Source organism: Homo sapiens, chromosome 2, assembly GCF_000001405.40.
Source record: "Homo sapiens chromosome 2, GRCh38.p14 Primary Assembly".
Taxonomy (NCBI): Eukaryota; Metazoa; Chordata; class Mammalia; order Primates; family Hominidae; genus Homo; species Homo sapiens.
In genome coordinates, this window is record NC_000002.12 from 88,944,130 (window position 1) to 88,960,383 (window position 16,254).

The 16,254-nt window shown below is 42.0% G+C and overlaps 1 gene segment (V, D, J or C) and 1 further gene, besides 2 other annotated features; one reads left to right on the forward strand and one right to left on the reverse strand.

The window, feature by feature from the left end:
- Nucleotides 1-16,254, forward strand: part of IGK (immunoglobulin kappa locus) — a 1,378,008-nt gene that overhangs the window by 86,769 nt on the left and 1,274,985 nt on the right.
- On the reverse strand, nucleotides 3,172-3,647 carry IGKV1-5 (immunoglobulin kappa variable 1-5). The segment is given in 2 exon segments: nucleotides 3,172-3,467; nucleotides 3,593-3,647. Coding segments are annotated over 2 exon segments (351 nt in total), but the record flags the coding sequence as incomplete, so codon positions are not given.
- Nucleotides 3,457-3,467: a sequence feature (IGKV1-5 leader sequence).
- Nucleotides 3,593-3,647: a sequence feature (IGKV1-5 leader sequence).

Below are 16,254 nucleotides of genomic sequence, written 5' to 3' on the forward strand. Positions count from 1 at the left end.
GATTACCAATAAATAGCATGGGATCCCAGGGCTCAGGGCCTTCTTAGCCTCCATACACTACGATGGTCCCTGGTGCCCACATTTCTCTCTCAAACTGTCTTTTTCTCAATCTTTGACTCCACCAGACTTTGTCACCCCCACGACCTGGTGTTGGGTCTGATCACCCCAAAACTGTTATCGTTGCAATGTGATCATCAGATATAACCCTTGCAGTTTACTCATTGTTATGATTTTTACATTTGCAGGGCTTCCTTGACAATGGCACTAATGTGACGCCATCCAGCATCCATTATTGTGAGAACTCTATTTGGAATATCACCATTGTGGGCATGAACAGAATGGAGACTTTCATAGGATGCAATGTTTAATATTCAACATTAGTCAAAATTTGTTCTAGTCCTACCCTTGGAGCTCCATTGAGTTGGAAAAATATAAATAAATTTATTTTAAATATAATATAAATGTAAATATAAACAAATTTAAATATAATATAAATATAATATAAATATACATAAATTTAAACATAATATAAATATAAATATAAATAAATAAATAAACAAAAAAATTTTCTGTAGCAAGAGTAAGAACTACATGTGGTCCAGAATACCATTATTTTATGGAAGGTTACAAAAAATTTTAAATGTATTTAATTCAGATAAGAATTTTATAAATATGCATATATTGCATATATGATAGAATAAATGTACTTAAATATGAATACTATATATATTTGTAGCCAACATTTTATCAAAAACATATATATTCACTTCTATGTATCTTATATACATGTATGCATACTTTTCCGTAAGATAAATTTTAATTTTTTATTGAAATACTAATTAGTTTTAATTTTGTCTTTAATTTTCTTTTAATAACTTCATAATTTGATTACTGGATATTCACATTTAAATCACCAATTTAAGAAAAAATACATGTGTGTACATATAGGTAGAGGTGTAAATACTGTATCAGGAAGCTTTTATGCATTACTGATTGGTAACTGGTTAAATACACAACTCAGTGACTGATAACAGTAAACATTTGTTTTCATGTTCACGGATGCTCATGTTCACAATCCTCTGACTGATCAAGGAAGGGCTCAGCTGAGTGGATCCTCTGAAGGACACAGACCTCATCTTCAGCCTATAGATATCAATTGTCTGAGGACTAAGCTGAACACCAGTGACTACACATGATACAAGATTCTTGTGGCAGGTCACAGGAGTGAACATCCCAAACCAAACTGGACAGTTGAATTTAAGTCCAATAATTTCTAACATAGCTTCAGATATTTAAAATATATTCCTTTATTTCAGTGAGTACAAATTTTCAAGAAAATGTTTACTCCATTTAATTATAGAGGTGTTTGATCATTCCATGGACAAATAATTATGTTTTCATCCTTTACAATCTTGAAAATATTTGCAAATGTAAATTTGCATTAATAAGAAAATAAAGCTGGATGTGTTTTCAACATGTGGCTTTAAATATAATTTTTTAAAATGGCCTCATTGGGGGAAAATCATTTTAACTTATATGAATATCCTTTTTTGCCTCTCTTGTGTTCTATAGAGTGGCCCAATAAGAGGTCCTCCCATGAGATTTGGAATCAGGAAAGGATGGCTCAATATTCTCCATTGGTACCTAGGACAGACACAGGGACAGAGATGAGGACTGGAGAAACACCTGGAAAGATGCTGTAGGAAGCTGAGAGCATCAGCACCCCCACCCCTAAGCTTCCAGACAGGACTGAGGACCACATGGTTAGATAGCCCATACTTCAGGGGAAGATGCATTCAGTTTTCTGAGGGAGCAACAGAGATTCCTGCTTCTAATATCAACTTTCCTGACTACTATATCCTTGGCTTTGAAAGGTTGTAGTGGGAAAGTTAATCGTAGGAATTGGGTCATTCTTGTCATACCCAACAGAGCCAAGAAACCAGGAGGGAAAGACACTCAGGGTGCAAAATATTGTCTGAAGAATGTAATTGAAATAGGCCCTATTATCCCATGGAACTAATGTTTATGGTTTTTTGAAGGAACATAGAAATTGACTCCTCCAGTCTTAAAAACTCAAGATAGTTATATTTTTCTTATCTGAGGAGTTCTTTTGTCAGGAAACCAACCATCAGGCCTCCAGATACTATCAAAAGGAGCTGAAACTTACATATCACTGAATCGGGACAGTGAGACATCAGACTCTTCACCCATTGTGATTGCCTAACTGACCTCCTGCTTCCTGTTGACCAAATCATCTTCCTTACCCCTCCCTAATTCCTGTTTTCCCACATTTCTTCCCTGATATATATACCCCTCATTTTAGTAGTTCAGGGAGATACATTTGAGAATGGTGTCCCATCTCCTCGGCTGCAGCACCTGATTAAAGCCTGTTCCTTGGCAATACTTGTCTTAGTGATTGTTTTTCTGTGTGGTGAGCAGCAGGATCTACACTGAATCCCTGGCATTTCAGTAACAAAATTCTCTGCAAGCTTCACTGCCTTTGGCTTATTGTAACCTGAAATCAAATTTATCCACAACTTCTGAGATAACTTGATATAACTGTAGGATTCACTTTGTCCACCACTGCTTCCCAGTCTGAGCTTGCCAGCTCCCAACCCTTCCTAGTGCCCATGAACTTTCTCAAAGAGCCATAGGTAACATGTTCCCTTTTTCGTAAAACTCTAACCTTCTCTTTGTTCTTCCAACATATTGAAGACCACTGAGTTTTCCTGTATGCCCCATTTGGCAAATATTTCTTTGCACGTAAAACATTAAATTTAGAGATTCATCTCTACATTTTATTTAGACTTCAGTAGTTTAGACTCTAATTGTCTGTATTAAGACAATTCCTGCTTTGAATATCTATAGTGGCCTCTTCTCTGTTATATAAAGTCCAGCTGAAGCCATAAACTAGACTCTTCAGGTGTCATGATCTCTGTCTTTATTAAATCAGGAGAGGCATTGCTAGATCTGTGCAGTTGGGGCTGAGAAAGAGAAAAGAATTAGGGTGCAGAGGTGACTCCATGTCCCCCTCTACCAACACCATCAGAGTGTGGCTGCATCTGAGGACCACTCTCAGCTGATAGAGGCATCAGGAGGAGCAGCTGGGGCAGCCCTGCCTCACACATCTGCTTCCCTGGGGGTTTATGTTCGGGTGTGTAACACTGTGGGAGAATAACTATTATACTGTTGGCAGTAATAAGTTGCAAAATCATCAGGCTGCAGGCTGCTGATGGTGAGAGTGAATTCTGTCCCAGATCCACTGCCGCTGAACCTTGATGGGACCCCACTTTCTAAACTAGACGCCTTATAGATCAGGAGCTTAGGGGCTTTCCCTGGTTTCTGCTGATACCAGGCCAACCAGCTACTAATACTCTGACTGGCCCGGCAAGTGATGGTGACTCTGTCTCCTACAGATGCAGACAGGGTGGAAGGAGACTGGGTCATCTGGATGTCACATTTGGCACCTGAGATTGGAAATAGAAACACAAATATTCATACTATTGATCATATTATAGGAAGACTTCCCTGAATAACCAGGCAGTACTGAGCACACTGGGCTGAGTAAATTCCTAGTGTTCTCCTTCCTTACCTGGGAGCCAGAGCAGCAGGAGCCCCAGGAGCTGAGCGGGGACCCTCATGTCCATGCTGTGTCCTGACTGGGTCTGACTCCTGCACAAAGTGTGACCAGCCTATTAATAAGGCTTCAGGGCAGGAGGTTGTGCTCTGGGAACATGCAAATGAGCAGGGGATGGGGCAGGCTGGGCACAGCTGCAGAGCTGGCTCATCTCAGTAACTCAGCACCAGCTCAGTGTCCCCAGGTGTCCCAGGTAAGACCAGGGTAGCACAAATTTGTCTGCAGAGAATGTGTTTCTACTGGGGACTATTTTATTATGAGAAACAATTTTTAGGTATTTTTTTGAGAATTTTAAATATTCCTCAGGAGCCGATAGAGTAATGTATTTCATTGGTGTATCAGGATTATTTAGGAGAATATTCTTGTTTGTAGGAAACACATAGTAAAATGTTAGATGGTAGGATTCTCAAGTCTTCAAAAGACTCTCATAAGATTCCGGGTAGGGAAGGGGGTAATTGTGCTATACCTGCAACATTTCTGTGAGTTTAACATTGTTCCTTTCTAAAAAAAATTAAAAATAAAATGTATCGGCATGATGCTATATATTTGTAAGTATTAGGTAATGGTGTTATGCCTTTGTTCTTACTAGTATTAGATCAAGCAATTTATTACAGATATACAAAGATGATACCGTGTTGTCTCCATGCATGCAGCACTCACAGATCCACCACTATCAAGAACTGCAGGTCTCTTTAATACCCAGAGACTAAATGAGGTGCACCTTATTCTTGTTTTGGGTACCTTCATAGTCTACCTTCTTTTCTGCCATTGGGTATTATTTCCCAAAGTTCATCTGTCTTAGTGAGGGTGGCCACTGCACGGAGCATGTCCCTGCCATGCACCATCAATGACACTTTCTTCTTATACTTTTTATCAGTGCATGGGGACATCATCCTGACCCAGACACCAGCCTCCCTGTTAACACCTTTAGGAAAAACATACTCAATCTCTTATCAAGCAATTGTCTATGTACATGGAGAAATCAGTTGGATCCAGATGAAACTGGACATGGATTTGCATTCATTATATCTCATATCTCTAATGTACCCTGAACGTCCCAGCCTGACTCAGTAGCAGGGGAAGTGGATGTAACCACATCAGCATCAGTGGGCTGCAGCCTCGGGCTCCACAAAATTTTACTGATGCCTGACTAGGGGAGCAAAATCACAGTGCTGCAGCCCATGCACAAACATTTCTGCTGCTTTGTAAGCAGCCTGAATTTTAAGGGAACTTGCTTATATTGGAAGAAAGGAAGAAAGTTCCATTTGTCCTCTAAATGTTTGCTGAAAATGAACCGACAAAAGAATAATGAATAAGAGAAAAGGCAAACAAAATTCACTTAGAGTGCGGTGGGATATCATAGTGGGGTGATTACCCAGATAACTCAATGAGATCCAGTTGTTCATATTTCCTTTCTAGGGAAGAGGGAATTGGGAAGTGTAGGCAACCTGGAGAGAATAGATGAAAAAAGAAATGCATCCTCAAAAGAACAGGCAATAGCCTGCCTGGATAAAGCATCAACTTGCAGTCTCTTCTATTTTTGATTCATGTTTTGTGTTAATCTTCCCTGATATAAAATTTCCCAGGAAGAATTTCCTTGACAATTGTTTTTCTTCTGGAGAATTTGCTTTTAGGCAGATAAGGGATATTTAGGAAAAGACTTCTTGTGCATTTGCTGCTTTCTAAATGCCTTTGGCTTTACATAATCATCATACCAATGCAGCATAGTTTGAGATGTTATTTTCTGGATTCCTTTACTTGCAGCCACCTGCCAAGATCCTGTTTCAGAGAGATGCAGCTGCAGATTGAGTGAGCAGTTGACCCCTGAACAACATGGAGGTTGGGGCACTGACCACAGGTGCAGATGAAAACCTGTGTAGAAGTTTTGCATTTCTAACTTAAGTACTAATAGCTTACTTTTGACTGGAAGCCTTAGTGATAAAATAAATAGTTGATTACACTTTTTTACATTTTATATATATTTTATACTCTATTCTTCCAATAAAGTATGGTAAAGAAAAAAATGTTCTTAAGAAAACCATAAAAATGAGAAAATATATTTACTACTGATTAAGTACTTGCTTTCAGGTGACACAGAAGAAAATATAAGTGTATCTGCAAACTTCAAACCCAAGTTATTCAAGGGTTAACTGTACCATGATGAATGTAGCAGTCCCCATCTGTAGTCTAGGGCTTTCTCCTTTGCTGTACCTCTGCTCACTTCCAATGGCCATATATATGTCTTATGTTCTTTATGATCTTGGGCAGAGAGGTCTGCCTACATGCATTGCTGGCCAGATGTCCTGGAATGTGTATCTCTGAGGAAAGTGCTATGGTTTGACTGTGTCCTCCAAAATCCATCTGTTGTAAAGTTCATTCTCAGTGAAATGGTTTTTGCCAGGTGGGCCCTATTGGGATGTGTTTAGGTCATGAGGGTGGAGCCCTCTAGTGGAATACATTAATGCCAGTATAAACAGGGTTTATAGGGCTGGAATCTTTCTCTCTCTTCTGCTGGTCTGTCCTGATAAGACATGGCCTTCCTTCCATTGAAGGACTCAATGCCCCAGGCATCGTCTTGAAAGCAGAGAAAGCTGACCTTAACCTGCCCATGCCTTGATCTCAAACTTTCCGTACTCCAGAAGTGTGAGAAAATATATTTCTGTTTTTTATGAATTACACAGCGACAAGGAACCTGTTATAGCAGCTTGAAAGAGAACAGGAGAGACAGCTCACAATCAGTGAGGATAAGATGAGGTATATACATATCCCAGCTTTCTCATCTCTCAGGTGGAATAGCCCAGAGGAATTTAGTCCATGTTTCCACATGTGGTTGATCTTCAGTTATCCTGAGTCAGGTGGGTGGTTGATGTGTCTTTTACCATTCATCTTCTGCTCCTGCCTCACTTTCTTCCTTTCCTCCCAGTGTAAATTTGCTGCCTAAACAGGAATACTCATTGCTGGTGGACCCAAAATAAGACAGAAAAAAAAAATCATTGTACTTTTGTATGAGGGATATTTCTCATCTGAATTCTTATCACTTCTCTTTCTTTGACATCTAGGAATATTCAGAAAACACTTTTTTTTAACCAATCTATTTTAGATTGAATTTATTGATTTTTTTTCCTGTGTGTTTTGTGAACCAAAAATTAAGTTGTAAGCCACCAACGAGCTAAATGGACTCCCCTTTTGGCAGAGAGAACTTCAAAGAAATCTGAAAAACTAGGTTAGGCCATGACTGGCAGGTGGGTTTGGATGTGTCTCATTATGCTCTCTTCCCTTTGGAGTTCAGGCACAACTGACCAGCATTATCATTATAACAGAGATCTTTGGACTGAGGAAACAGATGCTTGTAGCAATAAGATACCATACTCCAACATGACAGATAATAGGCCCTGAAGAAAATCTAAAAATTTTACTCTAAAAATATTTCTTTTTCTTTTTCTTTTTTTTGTTTTTTTTTGAGATGGAGTCGCGCTCTGTGCCCAGGCTGGAGAGCAGTGGCGCAATCTTGGCTCACTGCAAGCTCCGCCTCCTGAGTTCATGCCATTCTCCTGCCTCAGCCTTCCAAGCAGCTGGAACTACAGGTGCCCACCACCATGCCCGACTAATTTTTTTTGTATTTTTAGTAGAGATGGGGTTTCACCCTGTTAGCCAGGATGGTCTCGATCTCCTGACCTCGTGATCTACCCACCTCGGCCTCCCAAAGTGCTGAGATTACAGGAGTGAGCCACCGCACCCAACCTATTTCTCTGAAATATTCTGAAGTGGCCCTGCAAAGCTGCGCGTTGTGGGAGAAATTTGCATTCTGTAGAGAATCTCCTATGCTTACTAATCATTTTCCAAAGGTCTGACTTTTTTTTTTTAAGGTCTGACAAGCAACGTCTACTTTTTCTGCTACCCATAGGATTCATCTACACGAAAAGAACCTTGGCTTATCTAAACTCAAGCACACCCCGTTATCTAAACTCAAGCATTTCTTTATGGTGAATTCAACTCTTTAGGCAGAGCTTAACTCTTTCAACCAGTTGCCAATCAGGAAAACTTTGAAGCCACCTGTGACCTGGAAGCCCCTGCTTCAAGATATCCCACCTTTCCAGTACAAACTAATGTATATCTTATATGTATTGATTTATGTCTTTGCCTGTAATTTCTGTGTCTCCCTAAAATGTATAAAACCAACGTGTAATCCAACCACCTTGGGCACATGTTTACAGGACCCCCTAAGGCTGTGTCACAGGCCATAATCCTTATCTTTGGCAAAATAAATCTATAACTTGATTGAGACCTGTCTCAGATACTGTTTTGCTTACACTGGGTCACAAAATTTAAAAATCCTCTAAAACTATCTACACATCCATAAATCTACATTAGAGGCAGTGGAGTGAGCACACTCCAACAGTCAAAACTCACAAGTTAGAGGAACCTGAGTCTAAGATTTTGTCCAGCTCTCTTGCTTCATAAAAATAATTTGTGATTTTTTTAAATTTTACTCTAGAGAAGGACAATTTTGGGGAATATGTTTATGGTCAGTGGAATGAATAATGTCCCCACCCCAAAAGATGTCCATATCCTCGTCTCTGGAACCCATGTTATACGAGTTATTAAGAAACTATTTTAGGCATATAGAGAGGAAACAGGGTCCTTGGGAAGGTTTTGTTTCTTTTAAAGCAGCTCCAGAAATGTTTCTTGTTTAGCAGGAAAGCCCTGGCTCTTAGAGCTGGTCCGGCAAGCTTTTTTTTCTTTTTTAGAGAGGGAGTCTCGCTCTGTAGCCCAGGCTGGAGTGCAGTGGCACGATCTCGGCTCACTGCAAGCTCCGCCCTCTGGTTTCCTCATGCCTCAGCCTCCCAAGTAGCTGGGACTACAGGCGCCCGCCACCACGGCCGGCTAATTTTTTGTATTTTTCAGTAGAGACGGGGTTTCACTGTGTTAGCCAGGATGGTCTCGATCTCCTCACCTCCTGATCTGCCCGCCTCGGCCTCCCAAAGTGCTGGGATTACAGGCGGCAAGCTTTGATATACAAATACTGGCCATTAGAAACTGGGTCCAGCCAAACATGGAGATTCCCACATTCTTCTTCTTTTTTTTTTTTTTTTTTGAGATGGAGTCTCGCTCTGTCGCCCAGGCTGGAGTGCAGTGGAACGATCTCGGCTGACTGCAACCTCTGCCTCCTGGGTTCAAGCGATTCTTCTGCCTCAGTCTCCTGAGTAGCTGGGATTACAGGCACATGCCACCACGCCCAGCTACTTTTTGTGTTTTTAGTAGAGACGGGGTTTCACCATATTGGCCAGGATGGTCTCCATCTCTTGACCTCATGATCCACCTTCCTTGGCCTCCCAAAGTGCTGAGATTACAGGTGTGAGCCACGGCGTCCAGCTCCCACGGTCTTCTTCCTTGCCCCGACATTTGCCTGACAACATGGCTGCCCCCACATATCCCCATGTGTGTAGAACTTTATGGCACCCTGCATTTGCATATTAAAACACTAGGGTGGGAGGGCCAGTTTTTTCTCAAGCTACATGAATGACATGCTTGGTAAAACCAATCCCCTAAGCCCTATGCAAATCAGACACCACCTCCTTCAGCCTCCTCATATAAGCAGCCACTTTTCCACCGCACATGGAGTTTTCTCTTAGTTCTAATCTCCCCTCTCTCTGTCTCTGTACGGTGGAGCTGTTTTCTTCTTCCTTCCTTCTTGCGTATTAAACTTTTCGCTCCTTAAAACAACCCCACGCATGTCCGTTTCTTTTTAAACAAACCCGCGTGAGACTAAGAACGGTGGTGGTCCTCCAGTCATCAGAGCCCTATCATAAGGATTCTACCTTACATAGCAAAAGAAGAACTTGACAGGTGTAAGTTAACGACTTTGAGAATAAGCAACCTGGTTATCCAGATGAAACCAATATAATCACAAAGGTCATTAAAATAGAGGAGGAGGCTTGCAGAGAGGAGCTGGGACAATATGGAAGGATGTGGTTTGAGGAGGGAAGGGGCCATAGAGCCAGAAATGTGGGAGCACCTGGAAGATAAAAGCAGAGGATTCAGTTCTTTCCTCTGGAGCCTCCAGAAGGAATGCAGCCCTACTGACACCTTAACATTAGCTCAGTGAGAATGCTGACCTCCAGAACTACAGGGTAATACATTTATGTTGTGTGAAGCCAATAAGACTGTGGCGATTTAAACAGCAGCATTGGAAACTAATGCAAGGGGAAGAAATGTCTTTCAGCTCACTGAGCGCGTGCTTGTCTTCTGTTCTTGGAAATATTTCCACCTTGTTTTCTGGTGTCAGTTATGACAAGAGACAGAGAAAATTTTTCCGAGAGAAGAGCTACCACGAGAATTCGTTTTTAGCTAGAAAATCTCCTGGGTAAAATCTCATGATTATCTGTTATACGATCTGGGTATCACAGAGTTTGGGGTCAGATCTCACAACATGTGATAGGAGGAAGAGGGTTTTGTTAGTTTGTTTTCATATTGCGAGGGAAAATTAGATTTTCAGGACACAATCTGAGAAGGACAGACAGAGTCAGAGATATTGTAAGAGAAAGAGGAGATGTGGAAGGAGTCAGGGCAATGAAACACGTGTCCCAGCTCCCAAATCTAAAATAAAGTCATTGATTTTACAAGGTGAAGAAAAGCTCTTCACCTTCCATCTTCTTAGGAAGGATCAAATTCTTCCCAGAGTCCCTGCCCCTCCTTCACCCCCCTGACATTGCATTGTGGAGCTAATCACATGTGCCCTTAATCCCTGCTCCTGTCCCAGGCTGGGAGAGGCTCACTGTCCTCACCATGCCCAGCAGGCTAGAGCTGGTGCCCTAAGCACCAAAGGAGAAGAGGATGATTTCTGTGCAGGCAATAAGAGCTTTACCGCATTTTACATTTCCCTAAAATTCTAAGCAAAGTTCTGTGGAGAGAAGAGAACATGGGGCAACTTTATCTGGTGGGGCTGGAAGAGACCAGGCTCTGAGAATGACAATTAATTCACATTTCTACTTTTCCAGATGCCAAATGCTAGCTTTATCAATTGTGGAAATGTGGACTTTGAGTTTAAGAACAGGTTTCAGGTACTGCAATAATTGAGGAGACATTTGGAATAGAGTCCTTAGTCTAGGGCTAAAGTCAGACTGGCAGTGCCTGAGAGCTTCCAGGCGCTGGCCCTGGGCTGTGAGGGAAGCAGCAGTTCTCCTGAGCCACAGGGCTGAGGACCTGGGAGCAACCACAGGCCTTGGCCACAGGGCTGCCTGGCAGGGGCTTGAGGGAAGGAAACTGCTCACAAATTCACAGGAGCTGCATTAAGCATATATCCCGCAGCCTGGCAAGAGTGAAAGTCTCAGAGACCCAGACCTTAGGGCTGGGGCTGGGATTCTGGGCTGGCTGCTGTCGGCTCTGCCCTCCCTTGTCCTGAATGACTGGCACCCTGCTGGAGCCAAAAATGGAGGGTCGGCCAATGTCCTCAAAGTCTTTACTCAGCCAGACCCTGTTCTGCTTGGAAAGAAAATGAACACATGGTATACAAATAAACATAAAATCATGTGTATCTGTAATAAGAATTTCTAATATAAATTTTACATATTGAATACATATATTTTAGAAATAAGTTGTACTTATACATTTGCCTATACTATGTGTCTATTTATGGATAAATATGTGGTACATGTTTATATATAAAGATATATAACTTTGGTTGCTAGTATAAGGTATAGTTTTAAACTTTAATAAAGTAAACACGAACATTGAAAATGAGCACTGGGTGCACCACTTCATGGCCCTCCTCACTCCAGGGCCTAAGGGTGATAAAGCTCAGGACCCTCTTCCATGTCCCCCGGCATGGACAGCAGTGAACTACCCATTGCTGAGGATCATGAGTGACCTGAGGGGGATCTGCAGAATCACAGAGCAGCAGATGCCCAGAAGATTGATAGTTTGGACCCTGAATGGAGGGACATTTTGATCACAGGGCTCAGCATAGACAAGTACTCTTCTGGTCATTTCTGTCAAACAAAACAGCACATGTAGCTCAGAGGCTGCATGATCACAGGATGAAGCACCTCCATGAGTCATTGCCAGCTTCCCCTCTGACTGGGGTGATGTGGGATCTCTCTGCCCCACTTTCATGGCTCACCAGCTGCTGGGACTCTGTTGACAGTGGTCTACATCTGTCCCACGCACAAACTTCTCAATAGTTGTCATTTTACTTACTGGTCTCCAATAACCACAAATTGCCAGCCATGACCCTTCCACAAAAATTGATGGAGTGGGGTTGGAACTATGGGTTCAGCAATGTGCCAGGGCATGTATATAAGAGAAACAAGGTGTGGCCAGCCCATGTCTGAAGTGAGGATGAATTTTCACCATGAATTCGGAGTAGGAGGTGGAAGAAAACATCCTGACATGCTCCAGGCAGTGATGCCCACAAGATACACTAGAAGCGCCCACAGAGGAGGTGGGAAGGGGGTGTGAGAAAAAGAGGGAGTGTGAATTTACAGGTGTCTCCAGACTGTTCACCTGAAAAGAGATCAGACCCTTAACAACACCTGGGACCCCAGGCAGAGCTGTTGCTATGGAAGATTTGTGCAGGACAGGGATAGGAGGAGGGAGCACCTACCTGTGATGGCATCTTGGTTGCTGTTGGCCAGAATGACATCTTTTCAGGCCTACTGTCCCTGACCCAGGCAGGGATCATGTCCAGGAGGGCAGCAGGAGCTCAGAGCCAGGCCCTGGTTCTGCTAGTGCCAGGCTAGGATGTTCTTCATACTCTGGCCAGCTCTACAGGTGACAGTGACCCTCTCCCCTGAGACACAAGGAGGAGGACAACGATGGCATCCACATAACATGCTCACTGTCATCCAAGTGGGGGAACAAACATGCAGATCCCCAAATATTAATACCGAGTTTGTAGTTCCTCCAACTTGGTGCAATTCTGATCAGAAGGAAAAACAGGCTAACAACTTCATCAGCAGGGAAAGTTCATGTTTAATACAAACTATCTGAGGCTGAAGCCTGAGTTTCCCTTCCTCACCAGGCAGTCAGGACAGCAGGAGCAAAAGGAGAAAAGCTGGGTCCCAAAGTCCACAAGGTGCCTCCTGAGACTGATCCTGCTTAGAGAAGGTGGTGACAGTGGATGAGTCTTCTGGGACTCCCACACCAACATACCCTGAGCTGGATGGCTTGAGCCATAGACATTTATTGCTAATTTATTAAACGTTTATTGTGAATGTATTAGAACCCTGGAAAGTTCAAGATCAAAGTCCAGAAGGATTTGCTTTCTGGTGAGAACCCTGCTTCTTGTTTTCAGATGTCACCCCTGGATACATCCTCACGTGTGTTCAGCAATGTGCCGGGCATGTGTAAGTAGGAGAAGCAAGTACATGCTTTCTTCAGTGCATGCTTGGAGGCTGGTGAGGGGTTAAGGAACAGATCGATGATGTTTATTTTTACTAGGACACAAATCCTATTAAATCAGAGCCCCAAGGTTTTCACTTCATTTCACCCTAATTACCCCTTCATAACCTCTATGTCTAAATACAGTAATTTTGCAGGTTGGAGATTCAAAATATGAATTTGTGAAACACAATTCAGTTCATAGCAGGTGTGCTTTGAGGACATGCCCAAGGCAGTAGGAAGGGCAAGGCGAGGCTTCCAGTCTCAGAGCACAGAAGGCGTTTTCCCACCACTCAGCACACTGGCAGCTCCTCTTAGGTGATCCAGGTCACACATGAGACGCCATTCCCGCCTTGGGGGCTGCCTGCTGATAATGGAACAATATCACCCTTAATTTTCACTATTTCTAAGATCAGACTTCTATTTTATGTTTATTATGGAGTTTGTCCAATGGCCAGGTTTGTAACATAACCTCCAATGTTTGGTTTGTGACATAACATCTTATAGAATTTTAGATGCTGGTTTCCAGTGAGACTTGATGGAGTTTTTTCATGGGTTTTCATGGAGTTGATCTTATTACATCCACCATTATGCTGCATTCTGTAGGGAACACAAAATGATTCCTCTCCTCAATAAACCAGTCACCTAGTTGAAGATAAAGGGTGTTCAGAAAAGATGGTCACAAAACAATTAGGGGCTAGATTCTGTGATCCATGTGAGATGCCAATGATGTGATTCTGGAAAGCAGAAGGTGAGGTTGTGAGATACCCTGCAGCACATAATGCCCAAGGCTAGGGTGGCGAGTAGAGGGCCCCTGGTCTGGATCTGTCTACCCAGCTTCATTCCTCCCATTCGTGAAACAGTGGCTGCACCAGCCAGGAAGCATCTGAGACCACCTGATTCTCTGGAATAATAGCTGCTGAGGTTTGTGCTGTGAGCTATAACACTGTGAGTCTCTAACTGTAACCATTTAGATTAGCACTAATGAAAATAATTTTTAAGATGGTGAAAATGTCTATATCTATGCTTTGCAAGTGTAGCCGTTATATGTCATATGTGACTCCTGAACACTTGAAATGTAGTGAAAACAACTAAGGAACTATATTGTTAATTTTAATTAATTCCAATATACATGTTTGTGGCTGGGTACTGCTAATGTTGGCCATGTGAGTCAGGGAAGTTTTAGATGGTAATAAACAGCAATGTCATCAGGACAACCAATCTGCTAAATGTTAAGCAAAGATGATCCCAGGACCATTGCACCAAGCTGGAGTGGACAAGGTGGAAAGAGCACGTAGGTGGATCTTTGGAACCCAGATTCTGCTTCCTCCAGGTGAATGATGTAAACTCTCTGTCTTGAAGACACTGACATTGAAGCTAGCGACTGGGGAGCTGAGTGTTTCTCCTGGAAGCTGCAGTGGAAACAGAACATAGATCTTCCTTAGTATTACTCATGTCCCTCTCCATAGGCTTCCCAGCAGAGAGGTGCTGTCTGATCAAGTGGGAGGTGAATGCTGTGCTCCCTAATCAATAGTCTTTCTCAGTCCCATGGGACATATGAACCCTGTCACATGCAGCCCACGCAGTTGAAGCCAGAGCCCCATGTCCAGTGTCCAGTGTTGCCTCTGCCTTCGGTGATCCCACCCTACAGGACCCAGTGATGAAGGCTTGAGTGGCAGGGAAGAGCTTTGGGGAGCCTGCCAACTAGCAATAAGGGTGCAGACTTGGGCTTCCAGCTTCTGAGCAAGGGAACATTGTATGTCCTAGGTGTGATCCAGGTCAAGGTGTTTGATAAAAGATATTACAATAAATTATTTTCTTAAGAAAATAAAAACACAGAAGGCATCTGATTATTATAGGACTGTTTGGGTTTTATACCACTAAAGTGGTAAAAATAAATTTTTCAATGCGCAGTGGTTTATCAGGAATCTCCCAGCCCCTGCCCTTCCCGTGATGATTCTGTAGTCTTTGCAGGTTGTATGGTCACTTGGTGGCCTCCTTACCGATCAGATGCATCTACAGCACAACCCTAAGATCTTCCCCGATTAACATAGATGAGCAACTTCAACCTCCAGATACCACATACCATTGGCTGATTTTTATGCAATTTATCAACACTGAAAGTATTCTATTCCATTTCATTATGTAGTTATTATTCTGTGCATGGCTCATTCCCCTACTGAGTATCAGTATTTGCGATCAAAAATTGTTTTATTTACTTACATGCACTAAACCTTAAATGATAGCATTTATTAGTTCTGAAAACTCTGACATTAAGTTAAAATCCCTTAAAAGCAACTATATGCTTCTTTTTTTAATTAGAATAAATATGGTGCAATCACCTCAACTAAGGATACTAAACTACTTTTACAGTTGAAAATGATTAATTGGACATGGGGAAACATATTGACAAAAGTAACAAGCATTATTATGATGTTGAATAAACACAGTTTGCATGTAAAGTGTACAGTTATGATTAATTGTATTAAAACACAGGAGGAAGAAAGGTGGGGATTGCTGGATTGGTTGGTGATTCAGTCCTTAGAAGCAAGGGGGAGCTGATGAGTGATCTCAGGCAGGCATCCAATATAAGGTCCAAATATGATTAATTACAATGTTCTTTTCCTTAAGGTTTGATATTTTAAGCTGGTCCTGCTGGGGAAGTTTTGAGCACATTCATGGAATATGTGGAATAAAGATTAAAAACAGTATATTTCAAAATACTCTTAAAAAGCTCAGAAACACCCAAAGAAAACTATTTTATAAAATATCATGCCTTCCTCGCCCATTCTTGATATTTGTGTTTAACCAAGCATGACTCACAATTCAACTTTTCTCCACATTGTTGCCTAGAGTGTTGAAGAAATTCCTCTAATAGGACAGAAATGGAGTCAATCTTGCAATATCTGGCCAATCGTGTTCTGGCCAGTCTTGCTTTATCTCAGAATGTTACATTTCCAGAAACTTCTACAGTTATTCCTGAAAACTACAAGCAAGAAAGGGAAGGAGACTGGGATCATTCAAGGCAAAATGGAACCTGTTCTGCAAATACTGTAGTGAAATCATAACTCAGTAATCGTTTTGTGACTGGCTTATTTCACTTAGTGTAATGTCCTCTAGTTTCATCCAAGTTGTAGCATGTGTCAGAATTTCCCTTTTTAAAGCTAATTTTGCCTTTTTAAAGCTACAATATGCTACTGTATGTATATACCACATTTGGATTACCAGTTCCCTCCTTT